The sequence below is a fragment of the Homo sapiens genome, chromosome 13, assembly GCF_000001405.40.
Source record: "Homo sapiens chromosome 13, GRCh38.p14 Primary Assembly".
In the NCBI taxonomy this organism is placed as follows: domain Eukaryota; kingdom Metazoa; phylum Chordata; class Mammalia; order Primates; family Hominidae; genus Homo; species Homo sapiens.
In genome coordinates this window covers 95,110,431-95,136,615 of record NC_000013.11, presented here as the reverse complement: position 1 = coordinate 95,136,615, position 26,185 = coordinate 95,110,431, and the positions used below count along the sequence as shown (strand labels likewise).

General features: G+C 41.2%; 1 protein-coding gene across 6 annotated transcripts in view; it reads left to right on the top strand.

Annotated features, from left to right (window-relative positions):
- The window catches only part of ABCC4 (ATP binding cassette subfamily C member 4 (PEL blood group)), a 281,617-nt gene that overhangs the window by 164,836 nt on the left and 90,596 nt on the right, over window positions 1-26,185 (top strand). For all 6 annotated transcript variants that reach the window (NM_001301829.2, NM_005845.5, XM_047430034.1 and 3 more), the window contains one exon: window positions 20,615-20,694. In NM_001301829.2, the coding sequence (NP_001288758.1) occupies window positions 20,615-20,694 (80 nt within the window). The remainder of the gene's footprint in view (window positions 1-20,614; window positions 20,695-26,185) is intronic.

Here is a 26,185-nt window from a genome sequence, read left to right as displayed (position 1 = left end):
TGAGACTGGATCTCCTTTGTGGAATTCATCCGTAACTTTAAGAGTATAACTTAGGCTCCTGTCACTACTAGTTCATGCTGGGAATACCCTCAGAAAGGCTACTGTCAGTCCAAACCAAAGTTACCCAGATGCTTCTCTTTCTTTTTTCAAAGTTGAGATCTGGCCGGGTACGGTGGCTCACGCCTGTAATCTTAGCACTTTGGGAGGCCAAGGTGGGTGGATCACTTGAGGTCAGGAGTTTGAGACCAGCCTGGGTAACATAGTGAGACACTGTCTCTTCAAAAAGTACAAAAATTACCCAGGCGTGGTGGTGCATGCCTGTAGTCCCAGCTACTTGGGAGGCTAAGCCCAGAAGACGGAGGTTGCAGTGAGCCGAGATTGCACCACTATACTCACTTTTTGAGACGGGAGTGAAAACCCCCGTCTCAAAACACTAAATAAATAAAATAAAAATAAATTTGAGATCTTTCCCCACAATGAAAGCCTTGCTGTCCCTTAAATATTAATAACATTAATTACTGTTCTACTTAATTTTATATTAAATTATATCCAAAAAATCATGATTTGCTAACATTTTTAAAAACTGTGTTTTAATTTTGCTAGATGTAGTTTAAAACCTAGATTGAAATTTAACTAGAGATTGAAACTGGAATTCTTTCAGTCCTAATGACTAGCTGTGGTGTATTTTTAAAATAATATTTCTATAGTTTATGAGATAAGTAATAGTTTCATGTTGCTATTTACAAACATATCTCCTACAATTACATACAGTAGGTAGTTTTTATGCCTAATGATTTAAATTACATAAGTGAAAAGTCAAACTGAGAATATTTGTCAAAATATTTTCTCTTATTAATATGGGTGTTTAGAATGTGAGCAACATCTTTAATATAGGAATTATGGGCCAGGTGCAGTGGCTTATGCCTATAATCCCAGCACTTCTGGAGGCAGAGACAGGTGGATCGCTTGAGCTCAGGAATTCAAGACCAGCTTGGTCAACATGGCAAGACCCTGTCTCTACAAAAAAATACAAAAATTAGCTGGGCATGATGGTATGTGCTTGTAGTCCCAGCTACTTGGGAGGCTGAGGTGGGAGGATCACTTGAGCCCGAGAGGTCAAGGCTACAGTGAGCTGTGATTGCACAGCTATACTCCAGCCTGGCCAACAGAGCAAGACCCTCTCAAAAAAAAAAAAAAAAGAATTATGGACATTATTATATTTTACCTGATCGTGAAATGTAGAGTGTTCACTGAAAACTTTAGTTTCACGGAAAACTTTAGTTGAGTTTGCAAAATTACAATTTTTATGCCTCTGTAACTTTTTCTGATTTTGATATCATTATTCACTTTTACGAGTCTAAATTAAATATGAGCAAAACTAGAAACCATTTAAAATGGTGGGATTCTCAAGCTCGTGCTGGTGTCTCTTGCAGATAGCTAAATGGTAGATGAAATAGTGAATGAATTGTGAGTCTCTGATTTGGTCTCTCCTACCCACCATCAAGGCTTATCCAGAGATTTTCAAATAGCTTTTGCGTAAGGGAGACAATAATTAAGCTAATTATTTTCCTTACTGCCTTATGAAAATATAAATTAAAACAGATGTCACTTGCTGTCTTCCATGGCATGAACCTCTGTGGACAGGAGACTCTACACTAGACTAGTAATTTAGGGTCTGTTTTTCCCCCCAAGTTCAGACTTAATCAGATCAGTTGCAGATACCCTGAAAGTGAGGCCCCAAGCTCCTGGGTGTCATCGCTGCTTGGTGATCCTCTGGGCATTTGGTACTGCCCTCTTGCACTCCTCTTCCCACCTCCCAGGACCCCCACTTCCCCTGAGCATCATTTCCTTCTCTATGGCTCTTGTCCTTATTTATTTATTTATTTAAATTTTTTTGAGACAGAGTCTTGCTCTGTCACCCAGGCTGGAGTGCAGTGGTGTGATCTTGGCTCACTGCAACCTCCGCCTCTTGGGTTCAAGTGATTCTCCTGCCTCAGCCTCCCAAGTAGCTGGGATTACAGGTGTGTGCCACCTCCTCCGGCTAGCTTTTGTATTTTTGTAGAGATAGAGTTTTGCCCTGTTGTCCAGGCTGATCTCGAACTCCTGAGCTCAACTGATCTGCCTACCTCGGCCTCTCTTGTTTTCATTTAAATGGCTCCTGGGATCACATTTCCTTCACTACATATTCTTAGAACACTTTTCTAGAATAGTCTGCAGCATTTTCCTTCTTTAAACTCAAGACTCGCCCTTCTCCACTTCCCTTGATCCCGTTATGTATTTATCTTTACTTTTCATTGCTAGAAACACATCCCCTGGAAGTATAGAGAATGTTTGTACGTCACTGTCTTCTTCCATTTAGATCCTCTATCCTCTCTTTTTAAAAAATAACATATATATTTTTTGGCATTTCCCCCTCCTCCTTTTGGCCTTCGGTTCTCAGTGTATACAAGCTCACAGAGGGCTAGGATGGTTACTGCCTCTGAATGACCATTATTCATGCATCTGAGCATTGGTAACTGACCTAGGAACAATCAGCTTCTGATGGGCTCCTCTTGAAATTGTAGCGCATGGAAGGCTTTAGTGAATATCATTGTGTTGACTTAGCCATGTCACCCAGTGGGGTGGCATTTCATTCATATTCATCATTTACATCTTAACCTGAACGTGTTTGGCTTGGGCAGGAAAGTGGGGATCAAGAATATTGATTGTGTAAAATATTTTTCAGAAAGGTCAATTGCTATGGCGTTTTCTAAGGGTCACCCAATGCTTTGCAGAGTAAAATGCTTACCCACATCCTCTTCATTCTCCTTTTCTTCTCTGCATAAGGTGGCTCTTGTGTCCCTTCAGCACCCTTCTCTGCCACCACAGGCAGGCTCTTCCTTTGCCATTCCTCCCCTCAGATGTCGCTGTTGTTGTTCTTCGCTTTGCTCTCCTTATCCTACAAGGAGAGTTCTCCTTTGTTGGAGGTGGGAGGGGACTCTGGTCTCCAGAAGTGCTGTTACTGTCTCATCTCTCTCACCAGTTGGTGACAGAGGGGCTACCACAGCAGGTACCTCCTCTGTGACCCAGGCAAATTGGGTGCTGAGTGTCCACGTCGAGCTGAATGCTCTGATGGTGTCTCCAGGAATGGATGCATGTGATGGATAGACTGGATGCTGAGAGAAGGATGGCTGGAAAGTTTTTTTAAAAAAATGTTTTTAGGGACTGGGTGTGGTGGCTCATACCTGTAATCCCACCTTTTTGGGAGGTCAGGGCAGGCAGATCAATTGAGGCCAGGAGTTTGAGACCAGCCTGGCCAACATGGTGAAACCCCATCTATACTGAAAATACAAAAATTAGCCAGGTGTGGTGGTGCACGCCTGTAATCCCAGCTACTCGGGAGGCCGAGGTGGGAGAATTGCTTGAACCCAGGAGGCGGAGGTTGCAGTGAGCCGAGACTGTGCCCCTGCACTCCAGCCTGGGTGACAGAGCAAGATTCTGTCTCCAAAAAAAAAAAAAAAAAAAAAAGTTTTAAAATCATAGTAAAATGCACCTAACGTAAGATTTGCCATGTTAATCATTTTAAGTACTCTATATAGTTTGGTGACGTTAAGTACATTTGCATTATTGTGCAGCTGTCACCATCCTCCATCTCCTGAACTTATCCATCTTCCCAAACTGAAACCCAGGACCCATTAAACACTAACTCCCCACCACCCCTTCTCTCCACCCCCTGGCATTCACCCTTCTACTTTCTGTCTCTGAGTTTGACTGTTCTACATGCTGGACATAACTGGAATCAAACAGTCTTTTTCCTTTTCTGAGAGGCTTATTTTATTTCGTGTAATGTCCTTATGGTTCATCTATGTTGTAGAATGGCCCAGAATCTCCTTCCATCTTAAAGCTGAATAATATTGCATGGTGTGTATATACAGTCAGCCAGCCTCTGTATCTGTGGGTGCTCAGATTCAACCAACTGAGAATGGAAAATATTTGGAAAAACAATCCAATAAAAAATTATAATACCACAACAAAAAAATAATGTATTACAAATACATAGCACTTACATTGTATTTAGGCATTATAAGTAATCTAGGGATGATTTAAAATTAAATGGGAGGGCCAGGCGCGGTGGCTTACACTTGTAATCCCAGCATTTCGGGAGGCTGAGGTGGGTGGATCAACTTGAGGCCAGGAGTTCGAGACCAGCCTGACCAACATGGTGAAACCCTGTCTCTACTAAAAATACAAAAATTAGCCGGGCTTGGCAGTGCATGCCTATAATTCCAGCTACTCGAGAGGCTGAGGCAGGAGAATCACTTGAACCCAGGAGGCGGAAGTTGCAGTGAGCCGAGATCACGCCACTACACTCCAGTCTTGGCGACACAGTGAGACTCTGTCTCAAAAAGTAAACAAATAAAAAATAAAATTATATTGGAGGATGTCTGTATGTTATATGCAAATGGACTTGAGCATTTGCAGATATTGGTATTGGTGGGAGGTCCTGGAACCAATCCCACACAGATAGAGAGGGACAACCAACTGTACCATCTTTCGTTTATCCATTCATTTGTTATTGATGTCTTGGGTTGCTTCTGCCCTTTGACTATTGTGCATAGTGCTGCTGTGAACATGAGTGTGCGCATATCTCTTTTAGACCCCCGTAGTCTCTTCTGTTGTGTATATATGTAGAGGTGGAATTGCTGGATCATGCGGTAATTGTGTGTTTCATAATTTGGGGACCTGTCATATTTTTTTTTTCATTGCACCTGGACCATTTTTATGATCCCCCAACTATATACAAGAATTCTAATTCCTTCACATCCCTGCCAACACTTGGTATTTTCTGGTTTTATGATAGTAGCCATGCTCCTGGGTGTAAGGTAGTGACTTCCTTTATTTTCTTAAATCAATGAATCCTACAAGGCAGCTTTGAGTTGTTAATTGTGGGGAGTGCCAGGTCGCCTGACATCTTTGGGCAACTCTTTTTCTTTTCTCTTCTTTTTTTTTGAGACAGTCTTGCTCTGTTGCCCAGGCAGGAGTGCAGTGGTGCGATCTCGGCTCACTGTAGCCTCCGCCTCTGGGGTTCAGGCAATTCTTCTGCCTCAGCCTCCCGAATAGCTGGGATTATAGTCGTGCACCACCAAGCCCAGCTAATTTTTTATATTTTTAGTAGAGACGGGGTTTCACCATGTTGGCCAGGCTGCTCTCAAATTCCTGACGTCAGGTGATCTGCCCACCTCAGCCTCCAAAAGTGTTAGGATTACAGGCGTGAGCCACTGCGCCTGGCTGGGCAACTCTTCCCTGAAAACAAGGCGCCCATGTGATGGAGCCTGTGCGGGTTTTTGTTGTGCGTCCCCTCTTGTCGCCTTTCCTTGGCATGCTTCCCCTTTTTTTAATCCTACACTTGAAAATTAGATCAAACACAAACTGTGTTTAGATTTATTTACAGTTTCTTAACTCCTTTCCTGTTTGCCTTTTGACAGGCTTGGCATAAGAAGTCTTTTTCAAGTAGTAAATTAATTTAGGTGGCACGCACCCCACCTGAGTTTTGTTACATGCTGGCAGTTTAGATAAATGGATATTATAATCTCAGCACATTTCTGCCCAACACCACTGCACAGATTTGCAAGAGTCTACAAAAGTGATAATATTCTGTCAGTTTGGAGCCTAGAAAAAGAAGAAGAAGGAGAAAAAAAAGCATTTTCTTGTTCGTATTTCTAGGATGCCTGTGGGGAAGCCGGAAATGCCATATAGCAGTTTACATGGCTAAATACACATGAAAAAAGATAAGGGACCCAAAGATGTTTCTTTGTAGGCACACGGGAGAAGAGTCAGTTCAAATTGGTAATTGTCAGCTGTGTTTGGAGATACATTCTCCATCGCAACCAAAGATTTTTCTTTTTCCCCCTTAAACTCACCATTTCCTTGAAGAATGCAGTCTATTTTTAATGACTTTATTGATTTGACGATTGGGTTACAATGTACTTTATTTACTGCAGAAATGTTTCGTTCCTGTCAGCACTTAATGCGAATAAATCTACTTTTTGGCACCACTTTGATAGACTGTAAAACTGCTTATATTTGCAGGAAAATTTGTTTTGCCACGGTATGTTTATGTCAGACTCAGTGTGACTTTTTCTCCCCTCAAAATCATTTTATATCATAGTGTAGCTGACAAATAAATACACACAGTGCAGTAATCATTGTGTACTGTCAGAGCAGCAGAAAACAAAATGTGGGTTTTATGACAGGGATCAAAAAAGAGATTTAATATTCACAATTAAAGCCACTTATTTAATGCTTTCTGTTTTTGCTTCTGTATTAAGGCTTTCCAGTTTTTGGTTCATAGTTTGTATATCTCTTAAAAATAGTAAATATACAGTAAACCCTACATTCACTGATATTGTCTGCATGTGAATTTAATATTTATTATCCAAGAAGACCCAATAAAAGTCGATCTTTATTTCCTATTGTTCAAGGTATAAGCAAAGTCAAAATACATTTGCAATACGATAAGTTTTCTGTTAAGTTTCTTTCTTTTCTTTTTTTTTTTTTTTTAAGATGGAGTTTTGCTCTTGTTGCCCAGGCTGGAGTGCAATGGTGTGATCTCGGCTCACTGCAACCTCCACTCCCCAGGTTCAAGCGATTCTTCTGCCTCAGCCTCCCAAGTAGCTGGGATTATTGGCGTGTGCCACTGCACTCAAATAAGTTTTGTATTTTTAGTGGAGAGAGGGTTTCACCACGTTGGCCAGGCTGGTCTCCAACTCCTGACCTCAGGTGATCCACCCGCCTTGGCCTCGCAAAGTGCTGGAATTACAGGTGTGAGCCACTGCGCCTGGCCTGTTTTCTGTTAAGATTCTTAAGTTTTTCTTGAAAGCAATGTCATGTAATATATAGCTTTGCTCTATTATAATAAATTTAATTTGGGAAGGAAGCTGAATCATCTTTAAAAATTTTTTTTCATGAAACATTTTTCTTCTACAAATGTTTTCTAGTACGTATTTTTTCTTAAATAAGAGAAATACTATCCATTTTAGTTATATTATACATTTTTGTTTTACTTATTTTTCATAGGATAGCAGGATATAATATTGGCAAATTGAATATCATCAAATAGCCTACAACCTTAGTCCTGAATCAGTACTATGCCACAAGAGAATTTGGAATATCCACAACATGTCCATTATATTTGCAGTCCATCTGAAAAAATAATACACAAAGACCAACAAATGGATAACTTCCTGTACAAATGAACACATCAGAAATATCATTATGTTTATTGCTTTAGCTACCTTTATGCTTTAATATGATTGGCAATTATCCAGTAAACTTGTGCCAGGTAAAAATAAGCACCCATCTGGGTTATTCAATTTCAATGAACATGTAAAATAATATTTTAATAATTACGCAATATTTGTTTTTTTAAATTTACTTTTGAATGCATTTAACAAACTGGCTAGGAGTCCTTTAAAGAGAGGTAAATGCAATCGTCAACAGCATCTGCAAGCTAACCCCAAAGAACCCATTTTCAGCCAACTTCGTGATCTCTCATTCAGATTCAAATCTACAATGAAGTGCCAAAATCATGCTTTTAAAAAATGACAGCATTAGTGAAACTTTGGAGGTGCTTATATTGCTAGTGTAGGCAAAAACGCACAGCAATACAGAGCTAGGCCGTTTTCCTTGATTCTTTCACCATAGGAAGAAATGAACTTCCAGGGAGGTAATGGAGTCCTTCTGAGAACCATGATTAAAAGTCTTTGGGAATTATCAGCCAAACTTAAAATGGATCTCTAGGTTTTCATGGGGAGTTGTGTTAAAAAGGGACTTTTTAATTTAAAGGAACCAAGTTGATAAGGTAGGTTCAGGGAACCAAAAATGTTGAACAGATTTTTGCTGGATTGACAACTTGTACGGATGGTGGGTTTTTAGGGTGGTTAATCGTCTGCGTCTAGGGAAATGGCCACAGCTTGCCTCTCCTTCGGGGTGAAAGGTAGGTTCTGAGTCTGTGATTTTTCCCTGCTCAGAGTGAATAAATATTGTAAGTAGGTGTGGTCAGCTGTCCAGCTCTTTACTTTTTCAGTTGGGAAGGAAAGAGTTGCACAGCTATGATGTTCAGAGCCAACAAGGACTTGCAGACGCCCTGTGCATAGGAGCAGCTGAACACATTCAGAATCATGTAATTGAGCAGGCTGCTAAGTAATGGAGAAAAGAATATCATGCACAGAGATTTGATGTCTTTTTATGGGAGAACAAAAGAGTTTCGATTCTTTCACATTGAGTTTAGCCTAGCCATTGTGTGGCACAGGAGGTTTAATGAATCATTGTTTAACTAGGATCCTGCCAAGTATTTGACCATTAAATAGACTCCAATGTGTATAGAGTTCTTCTCTGACAGACTCTTATTTGACTGTGATTAATTGGCATCGAATTGTTATTTAATTACCTCCACAGAAATCTAAGAACAGTGTGTATTCTGATTAAGTTATTTGATGTAGGAACAGGCATGGGGCTGGAGAGGTCAGCTCAGCCCTCAGGACTCCCTGCTACTACCAAGGCCAACTTCTGTGGCTGCCCAAAGCTCACAGAAGATCCCTGAGGATCAAAAATTCAGACAGAATCTGGATTTTACCTTTTTCTTAGAATATAAAAAATGTTTTGGCAACTCATAGCATAAATTTGTAAAGCTTTTTTTTTGCATGTTGAAATCCTTTGAAGTTATTTATTGGACTGTGTTAAACATGTTCAGTGACAGTTATTGAGGTTTCCTTCAGTTCACAATTGAAACATGTTACGCATTCCCATACATGGAGAAGAGGTCAGCCAGCAGGATGCATGGCACAGTAGGAGTAAGGCAGAAGAAAGTCAATGATTGCACAGTCTGGTTTGGGAGTCACTATCCTTAGAGAATGGCACCACAAGGGCATGAGATCACCACTGAGGGGATAGAGTTCTGAGAGGTGGAGCCTCTAGATGCAAGGGGAGACCACCTGTGCTTAGCAGATGGGCAGGGTAGCAGGAGTGGAAAGAGGCAGATATTAAAAGAAAGAAAATCAGGCCAGGCACGGTGGCTCACACCTGTAATCCCAGCACTTTGGGAGGCCAAAGCGGGTGGATCACTTGAGGCCAGGAGTTCGAGACCAGCCTGGCCAACATGGAGAAACCTCGTCTCTAAAAATACAAAAATTAGCTGGGCATGGTGGCACACACCTGCCAGCTACTTGAGAGGCTGAGGCAGGAGAATCGCTTGAACCCAGGAGGCGGAGGTTGCAGTGAGCCAAGATCGGGCTACTGCACTCCAGCCTGGGCAACAGAGAGAGACTCTGTCTCAAAAAATAAAATAAAATAAATTTATATCCCTGAAGCCAGCATACATAAATATCTCGAAAAGACGATGATGAACAGCATCAGATGCTGCAGGAAAAGTCAAGAGCAATGAGGATGAGGGAAAAGCTGGCTGCTGCGTTTAGAAATGACTGGTGAACGCCATGGTGTGAAGAGGAGCAGGAATGGGACTGCAGAGGGTTGTGGGGCGTTTGGATAGGTGAACATTCCCCCTAAGATGAAGATGATGGTTTGACTAAGAGGTAATGTGTATCTTAAACTGTTTATAACTGACAGCTTAGGTAGAATTATAAGAATCATAGTAATATTTCTAGTTCTTAAAATTTTATCTGAATTTTTAAAGAAGAAATTCAATGGTTAAATTTCCCCCCTAGCTTTTTAATGGTGTACTTAAATATATATATATATTTGGTGTACTTAAATATATATAAATATATATATTTGGTGTACTTAAATATATATAAATATATATGGTGTACTTAAATATATATAAATATATATATTTGGTGTACTTAAATATATATATATTTTGGAATATATATATATATATATATATATATATATATATTCCAAAAAAAGTTCATGCATTTTTATTGAACACAACCTAGCACACAGTTTGGTGTAACACCTGTTGGCGGTTCCCAGATATTAAAATGATGCGCCGGGGATGGAACTGACGATCACATTTGGGTGTTGGTTGATCTGTTTCCAGCACACCTTTGGTTGCTTTACATAGGGTGGGTAGTGGGAGGGCCCATTGTCTTCAAGTTCAGTCACGTTCTCACACTGAATGTTTTGCTGTCCTATTTTTGAGTATTACATATACTTGTATGTGGATTAGAGATAGAGCCGATTTTGCACACTGACTGGTAATTTCCATTCAAGGTAATCTCAGTGATTGAATTTGATAGTTGCCTTTGTGGAAGTGGAAATTCCTTGTCTAGGTGAATGCTGTATAAATATGCGTTGCTGCCACCATCTCTGTGGGAACACATTCTTGTAGACCGCTTGGTATGTCTAGGCCCTTGTTTTTACCCCTCCAATAGTCATTCTTTTGGAGATATTCCATGAGCATTTAGCCGCAAACGACAGTGACAGGATACTGGAGCAGTAAAAACTATGTCTTAGGGATTAAAGTGGTACATTCCCAGAAGAGGTCAAGAGATTGGTGATTTCTTACTCTCTTAGAATCAGAGGTTCTTAATGAGAGCTCTGCTGTCCTGTGGTTCCTGGTTTAGGAATCCCCTGAAATCATATGCAAACTGTACACATGTGCATTTCCAAGCGAAAACACTCTGTGGCATTCATTGGCCATGCAGTGTTTGAGAGCAGTCGTCCTAGAGATTCTACCTGTTGCTGTCCAGGGATCTGTACCTTCTGGATGCTACGTGAGGCTGGGCCAGGTTCACTCCTCCCTGGTGTATTCTTGAGATCCATGGGTAAAGGAAATGGCCTGGTCTGTCTTCCTAACTTTTTTCTTTTTAGCAAATGTAAAATAATCATCACTTGCTGTAGCAAAGCATGCATAGCTGCTATAGCAAAATGGTTTCCCGAGGCAATTTATCAGGTGTTTTCAATGGCTTCAAGGATAATCCCCTACAATACTTCCTGGCAATGAGTGATTCGGCTTTGCCCTGGGTCACACAGCATGTTAAGGTCTGGGATGAGGTAGAACTGGAGCCCCTGGACTTTCCTAATTAATTCTGCCTTTTATTAGGCTGCATGTCCTCATTCATTCATTCATTCATTCATTCATTTATTTACTTGTTACAAGTTATGGCCTCCTGTAACTTGTGTAATTTAATCCTGAGGTGGAGTTATTTTAAATGTTTTACTTTAATTATGATTAGCCAAGAGAGAGTTCCTGAAACCCTTCTAAGCAGGAGTGATAGCCAAAGTATTTACCATCCAGTACAGCAGGCAGTAGCCTATCAGAAGAGGCCTGGGCTGTCAGCGGCTGCTTTGGCCATCGTCATTTGTGTCAGCCCTGCCTGGAAATTTATTGGCTAATTTTTATTAGTAGACATTTAATAGAACTTGCAAATGTGTCCAGTAAAGTAGCTTGATGTCATGGAGGTGTTGACATGAGCACACCTTTCTGAACCTCCAGGAGCTGGGTATGAGTCACAGCCTGGATGCCTGACAGCCAGGCATCCTGGAATTAATTTCTTACTGTCTCTGAGCCTCCACTGTATCTTCTGTAAAATGGGAACAGTATCTGTGTCATAGTTTTGAGGTGCTGTATGTGGTTTCTGGCACTAATTTAGTGCTCTGTGGGGTGGTCTTCAAACACAGTGTTGAGTTCACTCTTCTAGGTTTGTGTGCCTCATTTGGTGCCTTAAGAAAATGGTCTGGGTTAGGATGTACCTTTATATTATTATTATTTTTTTATTTTATTTTATTTTTTTTTTGAGATCAAGTCTCACTCTGTCACCCAGCCTGGAGTACAGTGGTGTGATTTCGGCTCACTGCAGCTTCCGCCTCCCAGGTTCAGGCAATTCTGCCTCAGCCTCACGAGTAGCCGGGACTACAGGCACACACCACCATGTCTGGCTTTTTTTTTTTTTTTTTTTTTCGTTTTTAGTAGAGACAGGGTTTCACCATGTTGGCCAGGTGGGTCTCGAATTCCTGGCCTCAGGTGATCCCCCCACCTCTGCCTCCCAAAGTGCTGGAATTACAGGCATGAGCCACTGTGCCCAGCCTTTTTTTTTTTTTTTTTTTTTTTTAAGAAAGGGGGCATTTCTTGCTCCCTTGCCCAGTCTGGAGTGCATTAGCGTGATCATAGCTCACTGCATCATCAAACTCCTGGGCTCAAACAGTCCTCTCCCCTTGGTTTCTCCAAGTGCTGGGATTGCAGGCTTGAGCCACCATGCCTGGCAGCAGTGGGATGACATCTCCAATCATGAGTGAATGAACCAAGATGACCCTCAGGAAAAAATCTTGTCCAGTTGCCTGCTCTCAGTGAGGAAGGCACCGGGATGAGTTAGTGTGGGCTCTGTCTGTGCACACACAGGCAGAAGCCGAGTCAATCTCTTGGCTATCTTCTGTGGACTACTTTCTCCAGCCAAAGTCAAATGTGTAAAACGTCCATCTCTCCAAACTGCACTTGTGCCCCTCCTAAATGCTTCCTCTTTACAAATATGGCTTTGAAGAGCCATAAGTACAAGGAATTTTTAGCAGAGGCCCTCAACACCTGATCCTTTTCCACTCCCATTCCACACCCAAGTCCTCTCCTATCAGCACACCTTAGGTCATGCTCTTCCCATCAACTAGGCAAATATTTGTCATCCCGTCACCCTTTCCTGCCTCTCAGTCCTGATGGATGTCATTCCTTCCACCTGATCAAAGTCCACATTCTTCATCAATACATTCTCTTCCCTCTTTCCAAATTCTCAGGCCCTGTTCCCATGAGGGCTGACCCCGCCTCACCCTGGTAACCCGCACCAGCTGGTGATGCCCCCCTGCTGTTGTGCCTTCCTCATTGCCGCCTGCCTTGGGCATGGTCCGTGCTTTCTTATTTCTGCCACCTGCGTGTGTGCTCATGTCGGGTTGTGTCACTCTACATGCTGTGCTCACTTACATGTATCTATTAACCTGCTACCAGTGTGATCATAAGACACTCAGAGAGGGCTGGGTGTGGTGGCTCATGCCTGTAATCCCAGCACTTTGGAGGCTGAGGTGGGCAGGTCACCTGAGGTCAGGAGTTTGAGACCAGCCCAGCCAACATGGTGAAACCCCGTCTCTACTAAAAATACAAAAATTTGCTGGGTGTGGCGGTGCACGTCTGTATTCCCAGCTACTTGAGAGGCTGAGCGGGAGAATTGCTTGGATCTGGGAAGTGGAGGTTGCGGTGAGCCGAGATCGTGCTAGTGTGCTTCAGCCTGGGCAACAGAGTGAGACTTCGTCCCCCGCAAAAAAACAAAAAACACTCCAGAGCGACATCAAACAAGCATCAATTTTAAGTCATGAAACAAGTAAAATTTTAATTCCAATTAGCAGGTTCTGATGAGTGATTATAGGTGTCTTACCTGATGGGTGAGCAGCAGGAAAGGAATGAGTCCAAAGTAGGAGATTATTGTTACCCAGAGGAAGGAAAACTTGAAGCTGGATGTGGAAAACAGATGATGAGGTTGCCTTTTGCCTTGAAGCCATTTGGGTTTTTATAAGTCACTTAGTGTAGACAGTCTCACCTAGCATCTTCCAGTTGGGGAAAAAAATGAGAAGGATCTGATTAGAAAATGGAAGAACACATACATACTTTTGAAACTCATTTTCTCCAATTTGTCATGTCATGTAATAAAACCTGGAAATTACTTTTTCAAAAATATGTCATAATTATATGAAAAGGCAAGAAACAACTACACTTTGAAAACACAACACAGTCCTGGGACTACAGGCATGTGCCTCCATGCCCGGCTAAGTTTTGTATTTTTGGTAGAGTCGGGGTTAGCTTCCCTAGCTGCGGAGGGTTTCTGAGAAAAGCAGCACAGTTATCCGTAGCCGGTCCAGTATAAAGGCACTCGCATTAGTGGCAGGTTCCTGAGAGCTACATTTGTCAGCAAGAGTTTCATGGAGGAGAAAGGGCGAAGGCTGAGATCCTGGTAGGTGGAGGCAAGCAGGGACTGAGGACCTTCATGACAGGTGGATGGAAGAGAGGGAAGGCCCCCTGATGGGAACAGGGACACACGGCCAGGAGGAATGGAGGGGAGGTTAGGAAGAGACCTCTCTTCTACCTCTTCTTTCCTCACTGTTTCTAAAAACTTAATAGCTTTGATTTGACAGATGAATAAATAAGGATGTAAATGAGGTTATTTTAAATGAAAAGTAAAGACATGCTGGTAATTATGTAAAATAAAGATAAGTCAAAAATTACTTACAAGTTTTCATGCTGTATGTTTAGGCATAGATCTAAGGTAGGGTTTGAGAAGTTAGGCGTGGGTTGTTGTGGGTCAATTTCAAAGGATTCTGTTTAGTTTATTTAGATACGCGTAAGATGTTTTGTAGGATAACTGAGTGTCTGAGTAAGCCCTGGGCTGGGAGATCAGGAGTACAGATAAGATTTGGGATGTATAAGCAAACAGGAAATCTTTGAAATGAAAGTGAGCAAAGTTCGAGAAGAGAATCAGAAAAAGGAAAAAATGGTCAACAGATTTATCCTTAGAAAAAAATAAGATGAAGCAAAGGATATTGAAGGAAGTTGCCCTGAAGAGTGGGGTTTCTCATTCCTCTTCTCTCTGCCTTATGGAAATCCCAGAATGGCTTGGCAGAGAGTTCCCACCGCATTAGAAAACACTGCATCACCTTGAGCAAGATTGGCTTTTGTCTTCACATCTCTAACATGAGGAGTTTGGTCTACAAAGTGCTGTGAACATTTCTGTTGCCTGCAGAAACCTTTCTTCAGAGGCAATCTCTATGTGAAGGTCCCAATGGATGTAAGGCCCTATGTTTGAGAGGGGAAGGGCAGAGAAGGGAGGAGATGAGGTGTCTGGGGTTGGGTGTGCTTGGCCTCCTCTTCATCCTCTGTCTCATTCTTTAAGATTCTTCAAGGCAGTCTCAGAATCTTCATAAGACAAGGTTTGAGGCTGGGCGCTGTGACTCATGCCTGTATTCCCAGCACTTTGGGAGGCAGAGGTGAGCAGATTGCTTGAGCCTCAAGAGTTTGAGACCAACCTGGGCAACATGGCAAAACCTCATCTCTACAAAAAAATTTAAAAATTAGCCAGGCATGGTGGTGCACCAGAGGTCCCAGCTACTTGGGAGGCTGAGGCAGGAGGATCAGTTGAGCCCAGGGAGGTCAAGGCTCCAGTGAGCCTTGACCTGGGCAACAGAGTGAGACCTTTTCTCAAAAAAAAAAAAACAAAAAAAAACCCCATAAAGTTTGAATGTTATCAGCCCTGGGGATCCTTCGCACCCATTTAAGCTCTATAATCCTACAATAATAATACAAAGAATGTCTCACCCATGTGAGCTACTCTAGAATTTAGAAGATCCCTTCATAATCATGATCTCTTTGATCCTCATGATCTTTGGCCCTGTGAAGTAGTCCAGGCAAATATCATCAGCTCCATTTTATAGGTCAGGAATTTGAGTGTCAGTATAGGTTGGGTGAGTTGCCCTGTATTGTTGAGTCCTGTTGCTACTGAGCCTCCGAGGAGGATAAGTACCTCATGTCTTGTCCCTGCCTCATTTTCTCTTTCATGCCTTCTGTGAGCCTCTGCCATGTTGATGGCCTGTTCTGATGAGATATACTGAAATACTGGACTTCTAGATCTCCTGTTTGGTTCTCATTTTGGTCTAAGCTGAGTGATACAGGATGTCCAGGCTGGCCCATCCCCTCAAATGGCTTCCTCCCCTCCCAGATCACAGTGTCATAGATGCTGTCATCCTTTTCAGCCCAGCAACTGTCTCCAGGCTCCACCCAACAGCCTGTACTCTGGACCAGTCTGTGCCCCGCCATGTGGCACCACATTGTACCTGGAGTGCACAGGTCAATTCTCTCGACACCATTTGATAGACTCTGCTCTTTGGGACAGACTGCTTGCATTTACATTCTACTTCTCACATCTCAAGATAGTGGTTCCCCCATCCTACCTTTGCCCTTTGCACACTCCACCTACCATCAACTATGGGTACCTGAGGGTCCACCCTCTCTCTGTACTTCTGGCTTCCAATTCTCTGCAGGAATATCTAAGGCCAATTCTTTTTTTTTTTTTTTTTTTTTGACGGAGTCTCGTTCTGTCGCCCAGCCTGGAGTGCAGTAGCATCCATCATCTTGGCTCATGGCAACCTCCGCCTCCCGAGCTCAAGCAATTCTCTGCCTCAGCTTCCCATGTACCTGGGATTAAAGGCGCCCACCACCACGCCCACCTAAGTATTTTGTAGTTTTAGTAGAGACAGGGTTTCACCATCTTGGCCAGGCCGGTCTTGAACTCCTGACCTCGTGACCCACCTGCCTCAGCCTCCCAAAGTGCTGGGATTATAGGCATGAGCCACCGCGCCTGGCTCAAAGGCCAATTCTTATCAAAAGTATTAGTTTTCAGAACCATCAGTGAAGCTATAAGTGTGGATACCTATAAAGAAGTTTACAAAATTGAAGAGTTCACTAAACACATCTACTTTTACCTTCAAGGTCAGATGTGGCACCTAAGACCATTTTTGTGGTACAGAATGGGCTTACCAGGAAGGAATGAGTGGCACATGCTACATCATGGGTGAACCTCAAAATCTTGAGATACGGGAAGGAAGCCAGACACAAGAGATCACATATTGTGTGATTCCTTTTCCATGAAAGATACTGAAAAAGCAAAGAGGCAGAAAGTAGTTGCTTGAGGCTGGGGTGGGCATAGGGAGGCACTGTGAGTGCCATGAGGGATCTTAGTGGGGGCATAAAAATGTCTTGAAACTTATTTTTGGTAATGACTGCATCACTCAGTAAAGTTACTAAAATTCATTGAATTGGATACCTGAAATGGATGAGTTTTATGAGACGTAAAATATGTATCAATGCAAATATGCCTCAATATCTTCATATTTAAGTGTACTTTTTTGTTACAAAAAAGAATGGGGCTCACAGTAGACATGGGAACTTACAAGTTTTAAATTGTAGTACGGTTATAAGGGAATTGGGAAGTCTTCGTCATGGGAGACGTATCAGAATTCCGGAGGTGACTTTAACTTCAGATTAGATTCTAGAATCAGTTTGTAAAATAGAGTCATTTATGAATTTGTATTTTGACAAAAAGTTCATTAACACCTTTTATAATATTCTATGTTGTGGAAAAAAGTTAGGAGCAACCTGACTCTGTATGTGATATTATGACTTCAAAGGAGCTTGGTTTCTCTCTCTCTCTCTCTCAGAGGAAAATTTTAGTGTGCTCATAACTTAATATAGACCCTTTTCAGACATTTCGGTTGTTTCCTGCTTCTGATTTACCAAATAATGCCACATTGACCATCTTTGATGCACTTATTAATGCCTTGAGATACTTCTTATAAAATTGAATTTTGGGGTCCGTGGGGATGCACTCAATAGTTGTTTATTGTCCAGCTCCCAAAAATCTACCTGTGCCATCATGCAGGATTGGAGTGATGTGGATTTACATTAAATGTGAGTCCAAAATGTGGTCTGGCTCAAAGAATTTACTGTGATTGTGGGCTTAGTCATGGGATATATCCTGACCCTGAGATATGCAGATAATACCTAGGGTATTTATTTTAATCCTGGCTACCAGGCATTCAGAGAGGCTGGCTACCTGACTATGTGCTGAGGCAATGGCCAACATGGGACCCTGTGTGTTATGAGAGATAATTGAGGTACCCAAGGGATAGGTGCCTGTGAGAAGTCTGGAAAACTTGTGATTAACTTTCTTCAAGTAGTTGAAGAGCTGCCCTGTCAAGAGAAATTCGATTCACTTTGTATGGTTGTAAGGGCAGAATCAGCAGCAACGATTGGATGTTCCCGGAAGGCAAGATTCGGTTTAATGTAAGCAAGCCTTGTCTAACAGAACAGTCCGAAAATAGATTGGGTCTCCTCAGGAAACAGTGACTCCTCTTCTCTCGACATCCCTGGAGATGCTCCAGCAGGGGCCAGATGTCATTTGGATGAAGAGGTGTGGCATGTGCATGGAGGGAATTTATCATAAGTGTTTGATTTGGAGACCTCTGGGAAAATGACTGTGAGACTGTGAACTTGACATCACAGCTCTGATTATGACAGTTTACTGCGAAGCCAGATGAAAATATTCTGGCCGGGTGCTATGGCTCACACCTGTAATCCCAGCACTTTGGGAGGCTGAGGTGGGTGGATCACCTGAGATCAGAAGCTTGAGACCAGCCTGACCAACGTGGTGAAACCCCGTCTCTACTAAAAATACAGAAATTAGCTGGTCATGGTGGCATGTGCCTGTAATCTCAGCTACGCGGGAGGCTGAGGCAGGAGAATCACTTGAACCCAGGAGACAGAGGTTGCAGTGAGCTGAGATCTCCTCCAGCCTGGGCAACAGAGTGAGACTCCATCTCAAAAAAAAAAAAAAATTAAAACTTTTATTCTTTTTGCAAACACCAGTCTTTGAATTGTTTCTTAGAACAAGGAAGTAACTATTGAACCTTCTAATCTTACACTTTCTACACTGAGATCATTGTTGATAAGAGTTTTGATTTCAGCTGATCTTTGACATTCAGTTCAGTTATTGGCGTAGCTGTGTGAGGAGGTGGGCTTTCTCAGTTGTTTTTGTTTTCCTTGTATTTTATGCTGTTTTCCAACCATGGGTCTTTCAGATTTTAAGATGCTCCCAAATGGTCAAGATAAAGGGTTGGTTTTCACATACTAATGATTTATGTAGCCTTTTTATCTTTTTTTCTTCTTTTCTTTTTTGTAGAGATGAGGTCTCGCTATGTTGCTCAGGCTGGTCTTGAACTCTTGAGCTCAAGCAATGCTCCCACCTCTGCCTTCAGAAGTACTGGGATTATAGGTGTGAGCCCCATACCTGGCCTATCTTTTTTTTTTTTTTAATTTGAATATTGCTTTCAACTTTTTAAAAGCTGAACCATACTTGCAATGTTTCTGAATATTGCCTATGTTAACTTTTCCACTTAAGAAATAATTCATATTTTAATAATTATGTCTTAAATTTTTTAACTTATATTTTCCTTTTATTGGTATTGATACACTGAGATGAGAAAAAATAACAAGAAGGACGACAAACAAAATCCATAAGTATCTGTCGGAAAAATACTCATTTAATTTTAATGTTTCTTAAGTATAGCTGATAAAATAATAGCCTGACCTCTTGCCCTGCATAGCATGGTCTGGCAAACAGCAGAAGGGCCCCCGGAAGCTGGTTGGAAATTCAGGCTCCAGCTCCTCCCCAGGGCCACTGCATCAGGACCTGCATTTGAAAAGTTGAGCTTCCTCCCCGGTGGCATGCTGCAGAACCTGTGGGTCATAGTCATCATCGCACCTTTTTGGTTTTGGTTTTCTAGCAGCCATGAAAAAGTACCTGGCGTTGTGCCTGGGCTTTTTTTTTTTTTTTTTAACAGGCATGAGCCCGTTTAATCCCTAGGACAACCCTCTAGAGGAGGTGTTATTAGAGGCTCAGAAAAGTTGTCACTGGGCCTGCCAAAGGTGTCACTGAATGATGCTTTCTGGAGTCTGTGTGTCCGAAGCCTGAGACAAGAAAATTGAGGTGCAGCTCCAACTTGTACACACTGTGCTTCTTGGCCAGCTGGATGCCTCAGGAGAACTGCAGAGGCTGCATTAGCCCCAGCAGCGGGAGGCAGCTCCGTCTACAGCCTCTGACCATTCATGGTCCACTTGCAGCCTGGTATAAAGGCCCCAGGACGAAGTCAATCCTGACAAACCCTAGGAGGCCACACATCTCATCTGTAAGCAGGGCTTCCGGAAGCGTTGATTAGAAAAGAAGTTCAGAGGCCTAGACACACACACTTCTCAGGGGTCACCTGCATCCACGTAGGCTATGTGTGTATAGCTTCCATTTTTTTGAAGGAAATCATTTGAAAGAATAGATATTTATTAGAAACCAGGTTTGATCTGTTTGTGATGCCTTTATGACATACTGTTTTCTTGGATTCTACTTGACGGGAAATAAAGTCGATGCTAAGCAGTGATCTTCAGTCATTAAATAATATTTCTGTTTTCCTGCATAATTTCCTCTTGTGTTCTTAGATAAGACTAAGCCTGTTTTTGTCATACTGTTTGCACATCTGAAAATGACAACTTGTTTGCCAGTAGTAAACTCACAGCCTGGAAAATGATAGGATCCCAAGTTTCCCCAAAAATGTGAGGTACAGTCAAGCAGGCTGGGGAAAAAAAAATACAGAGGTTATCATTATGTTTATATAAAAAATATACCACTTAGCAAAAGAAATTCTGATAAAGCAAAATTAGTGAAATAATTAGGATCAATTTCTGTACGTTCATCTACCTACTTTGCACTTGGATGGAAGTCCTAGATTGGGTCTTAAAAGGAGGGAACATTCTAGAACCCACCAACCCTTCCTGATACTGTCACAAGATTTTTTTCCCTTAATTCTTTTAAAATCAGGGCCACATTTCAACTCCCTGCCCGCTGCCATTTGATGATATTTTTGTTTCTCTTTAGGTATCGTCCTATTTTCTTTTTCTTTACCACTGACATCGGCTTATTTCATATGAATAATATATTAAATACATATGCATTTAAAATATTGTTTTGATTTGTTTGCGAATTGTTTCTCTTAAAGGGTCTATCTGGGGAAATGAGTAATTTTTCATATCCTGTTCTTGCAGGAAGAATTTTAAATCGTTTCTCCAAAGACATTGGACACTTGGATGATTTGCTGCCGCTGACGTTTTTAGATTTCATCCAGGTAACGTTGAGAGTAATGTCAGGATCTCAAATGGAAAACGGAAGTTCCTATTTTTTCAAGCCCTTTTCATGGGGTCTGGGGGTGGGACTCTCGGCCTGGCTGTGTGTAATGTTAACTTAATAAAGGGCCATGTTTGTAAAAGAAAGGTGCGGTTATAACTCAGAGGCTAAGTTGGCATGAGTAATACCTTGTGTGTGGGAGTGGCTATACAGTCGCGTCAGGGTTAGTTTGAAGCAGCTTCGTGCTTGGTAAGTGGCTCTCCGTCTGCCTCTAGGTATCTGGCGTGGATTTTGCTTTACTGTGAACACATTTCATAATACAGAAACAATCACCTCTCACGGAAAGATAGCCTAGATTAACTAAATTATGCATTGTATTACCACAAAGGGCAAATACTTAGGCACTTTTTTTTTTTTTTTGGATAGAACCAGGTGTGGTTACTTACAAAGAAAAGATTAGTAATAATAAGGTGAAAATAATACTTTATTAACAAGGACAATAGAGAGCAGTTATTGCGGATACAAAGCCTTTAAAGGCAAGGATATCTAAGCCAATTTGAGTACAGGATCAAAGTCAACTCAGAAAATGTCTTTTTTGTTTTCACACGTTGATTGCTCTAAGTCTTAAGCTGTCTTTAAAAAAAAAAAACCAACAATCCTACAGAAATACCTTCTGTAAAACTTTTCTTTTGTTTGTGAACTTGAGGCTCTAAAAAATAATATTGGGTCATCTCTCATCTCCTTATTCAGTACTGTTGCTCATGTGGTTTGGTTTTATTTTATTTTTTCCTATTGTTTAATTTTGTCTACTTGTCAGTGGTTCAAGCTGGGGCACTTTTTTTTTCCCAAGTGTTTATTTTGGAAATGCATCTATTAAAAGCTATACATATTCCAAAATCTCAGCTGCTGTTGCTAACACTTTATGAAATTTGAACCTCTGTGACTTTTTCTAAGTGCCAACTTAGAATAGTTGTAATCATTAGCTGAATTTAAAGCCATTAAATAGAAATACTACAGTTGGGGTCTGCAATTTTGGCTTGATCCTGTGATCCCCCTACCCCTGCTTTTTTCTCAATGCTCAGATGCTTTAGATCTCCTCTGGAGCCACAGTTATAAAGGAAGCAAAATTACTTAATTTGGAAAATTAGCTATGTAAGAAAAATCAGTCATAGGCTTGAAATGCTTATAGGAATTCCTGTTTGTCACACAGCAAGGCAGCAAATGAGCATGTGACTGCAAACAGTATAGCCCATGGGCGAAGGCATCCACTGTTTATGGAGGTGAAGTAAGCTGAGACTCACAGGTGGATTATTTTTACTGCAAACAAGGACCTCTGATTTTTTTTTTTCTTTTGCAAACATTTTTAAAATGTGCCCTCCTGGGTTTAGCTATATTATTTATCCCTCAGAAGCCATCACTAAAACAGTTGCCCCGTTTACATAGAATGCAGATTATTGTCTGTACACGTTTTGACAGGGATTGTTAATTACTTCAAGAAGATTTTGTGAAAGTTTCTGTTTCTTTGCAACAGGAAGCTAGGCAAAGGTTGAGTTTCCGAAGCTGGCTGGCCCACTATGTGCTTAGCAGAGTGAGCGGTCGTAATTAGTATCCCTTATGTGCTTTGTCTCACATATGGAGGGAGAGGGATGGATGCTACTTGATGTCAATATAAAACATTTCTTAGAAGCATGAGGAGGGAAAATTCTAGTCTCGTTGTACTTCTATTTAACCAGAGAGACAAGGGCGTTTGTTATTATCCACTCACATAATCTTGGTAAACTTAATGTTGTGGAATCCTACTGGCCCCAATTAGCTGATTTCTTGAATCTACAGCGAAGGTTAAATCCTAATGTTATTGTCTCCAAGAAAGGAGTTTTATCTAAAGGATAACTTAGTTATCAATTATGATAAAGATCTATTGTCACTTGTTTTGTTTGCAGGTGTCTTTAATAAGGCTTCCCATAATCCCTTCAGGAAGAAATATTTTCTCCTTTTAAAAATAGTATTAGCTAAATATAAAAGCTCTGGTCCCTGCCATTGTTGTTGATTCTTTGAGGGACATTTCCCAACATTCATTGTTTAAATGGTTGTCAGGAAGAATCAAGTGAAACGTGGTAAACAATGCAGTAACTGGTTCATCTTACTTTGTGTGCCGAGCCTTTCTCCCGGGGATTTGCATTCGATGAGTGGGCTTTTGACTGAGGTATCGCCAGGATCATTTTAAAGTATTTGGGCCTGTTGCTATATTAGGAAGTGAAAATTTTTATTAAAGCCACCCACCCAAAAAAATGCATTTAACCTGCCCTCAAATAAAGGCCAACAAAAATCTAAATGTAATTTTTTTTTTTTTTTTTTAAGTTGCCTAGGCCTCTCTGTAAGGATGAAAACAGCCCAGTGCTGTTCTGGGACTCTTAATGGAATCATGTAAACTTAAAATAAACACTATTATGGTAAGCACATAGAATGAAAACTAATTTTCCAAATCAAATACATTATATTCAATTCATTTTCCCCAATCAACCAAATGTTTAAAACCTGTTAGTTATAACAGCAATCTTCTGGAAATTAATTAGAAGCCTATTAGCTCTGCTAGCTGAGCCGAATGAAGGGGGTTGCTCGGTACATTTCTAAGTAGTCTCCTGAATTAAAGCAAAGCAAGGTCAAAATGACAGTTAGCTTTGTTCACCTCATGGCTTTGCTTAAAGTCGTTGATCTTTTAGGGGGGAAGGAGGGAGGTGTTTTGTTTTGCAAAGGAAATTTTGTCTACTTTGACTCAGTTCTGTGATACATTTTTAAAATTTATTTCTAGAGCCAGTGGGGTGAGCCATACAGGAAGCCTGATGTTATCTGTGTGGATAGTAGCCTTCTCCATTGCATGGGCATCTGAAATGGAGTTGAATTTTAGGCCTCGTCTACCGCATCAATTCTTCTACAGGGTTTATTTAGCCCCTTTCAAAATTCAGATAGTAGGAAATTTCCTGGATGACTTTGTGTTTAACATCCTTAGCAAAACATGCTTCGGACACTGGGGCCCTGGGTTTTGTGGCTGTCATCAGGTTCTATGGGTAATAAACATGCTGCTGACATCACGGGCCCTGGGTTTTGATGGCTCTCGTTAGGTTCAATAGGTAATAATCACAGTGACTAGCAGTTCCTCCTAAGCCCAGAGAAACTCACAGAAAGTGAGGCCTTCTCAACCCAGCAGCTGAGATTGACTGAAACAATTGAGTTTAAAAAAACTGGAAATTTCTTTGTCAAGATGTTACCCTTGGTGTTATCTAGCTGACTGATCGACAGGGGAACTACGTATCATCAGAACCAACTACGGATGGTATTCTTGAGCCAGAAAGAACTTTGGCAGGATGTATAGTAACAAATAGAATGAAGATTAAAATCCACAGAAAAGTTAGGTATCTTCATAAAAAGGGAGTTGAAATTCTACACTTACCAGAACATTCAGACTAAGACTGTCGAGTTGTTATTCTTACTAAAGCTGAGATTTAAAATCAAATAGCTATAGAAATAAATAATGTAGTTGCATTTATCCATGTGACTTTCTTTTTTTTTTTTTTGAGATGGTCTCACTCTGTTACCCAGGCTGGAGTGCAATGGTGCGATCTCAGCTCACTGCAACCTTTGCCCCCCAGGTTCAAACGATTTTCATGCCTCAGCCTCCTGAGTAGCTGTGATTACAGATGACCACCACCACTCTAAGCTAATTTTTGTATTTTTAGTAGAGACAGGGTTTTGCCATGTTGCTCAGGCTGGTCTCGAACTCCTAACCTCAGGTGATCCACCCACCTCGGCCTCCCAAAGTGGTGGGATTACAGGCATGAGCCACTGCACCTGGCCTCATGTGACCTTTTTAATCCAGAGCATTCATGTTTGATTACGTTTTCTGTATGATGGTGATCGTTTTATTGGTTTTGTAAGTAGGAGTCTGGAACTGTGGACCATTGGGTCAGAACTGAACTGTTTCCAATTGAGTTTGCCAAAGACTGGAGGGGTAGATCTGAGAGGAGAACCCTCTGCTTGTGGCTTGGTGTCTAGAATGTAGGCTCTGTAGAAGCAAGTCTGAAACCATGCACAGATTTTATTACTCTCCCGATGAAATCGCTGAGATAAGGAAATTCTGGTTTACATGTGACCAGATTTGCTGGCCAGATAGAGGCAATTAACCTAACTTTGATTTTTGGACTTCAATAAAATATTTGTATTTGTGAGTTTTCATTTGTTTTTATATAGTTAGATGTTGGCACTCATTGCAGATGGGAACAGTGACACTGGTAACTTAAAAGTGGGTGTCATTTGCTGTCCTGTATTAAGGGAAGAAACCCAGAGGGGCAGCGAGGGTAATGTGTCACTTTGGAACTCAGATTGGCTCAGGTGTGCAACAGTAGTGAATAAAGAAAGGTGAGGTTTTTGATTAGGCCTTTTGGAAGGAAAGCCAGAATTAAGGGAAGTTTTTGAATATATCATAAGATATAAATATATCACTGGAAATAAATAACTTATAGAATACAAATGAACAGTCTGCAAGTTACCTCAAGGTTGCCATGGGCTAATCAGATAATTTAGCCAAGGCTGGCAGTGCACATCTGGCTTATAAAGAGTTGTTCAAACATGTTTTTCTTGTCTGCTTTTTCAAAACTTGTAACAGCTTTGAACATCTACAATATTTCTAAAGCCAAGTCATTTATGAACATAGAATGGCTCTTCACAGGTTAAAAGTGAATATCTTGTTTTCATAAAGAATTGAAATACAAATAGCATAAAGATCTTCATCTGGAACTTATGTTCTTTGAATAGGAATTTGGCATTCAAAACATAGTATGTTTGCGTAAATCAACAAACAAAAACATAGAGATGATAGTCAACATTCACATTTTAAAGTGCTTGATTACTTCCTTTTTTTCTGTGGTTTTTTTTTTTTTTTTCTTTCTTTTTTTTTTTCTGAAACAGGGTCTTGCTCTGAAGCCCAGGCTGGAGTGCAGTGGCGCAGTCTCAGCTCACTGCAGCCTCCACCTCCCGGGCTCAAGCAATTCTCATACCTCAGCCTCCCGAGTAGCTGGGACTACAAGTGTGCACCACCATGGCCAGCTAAGTTTTGTATTTTTAGTAGAGATGGGGTTTCACCATTTTGCCCAGGCTGGTCTCTAATTTCTGACCCCAAGTGATCCTGCTGCCTCAGCCTCCCAAAGTGCTGGGATTACAGACATGAGGCACTGCGCTGGGCCAGAAGTGCTTGATTACTTCCTAATATCAGCACCAATGCCAGCATCATGAATCTCTTCTTCCATTTTCTTAAAACAATAATTGGATTAATAGGTACCCTACCTGTAATATTTGTATTAATAATATCTTATTAGCATTTTAATTAGAAATTTAATATTAATGATTTGGAATCAGTAGTTTTCAACAATTTTAATAGTGCAAATTTATTTGTAGTATTTGATGGGGAGATATGGTGTTTTGTGACTATATTTACAACT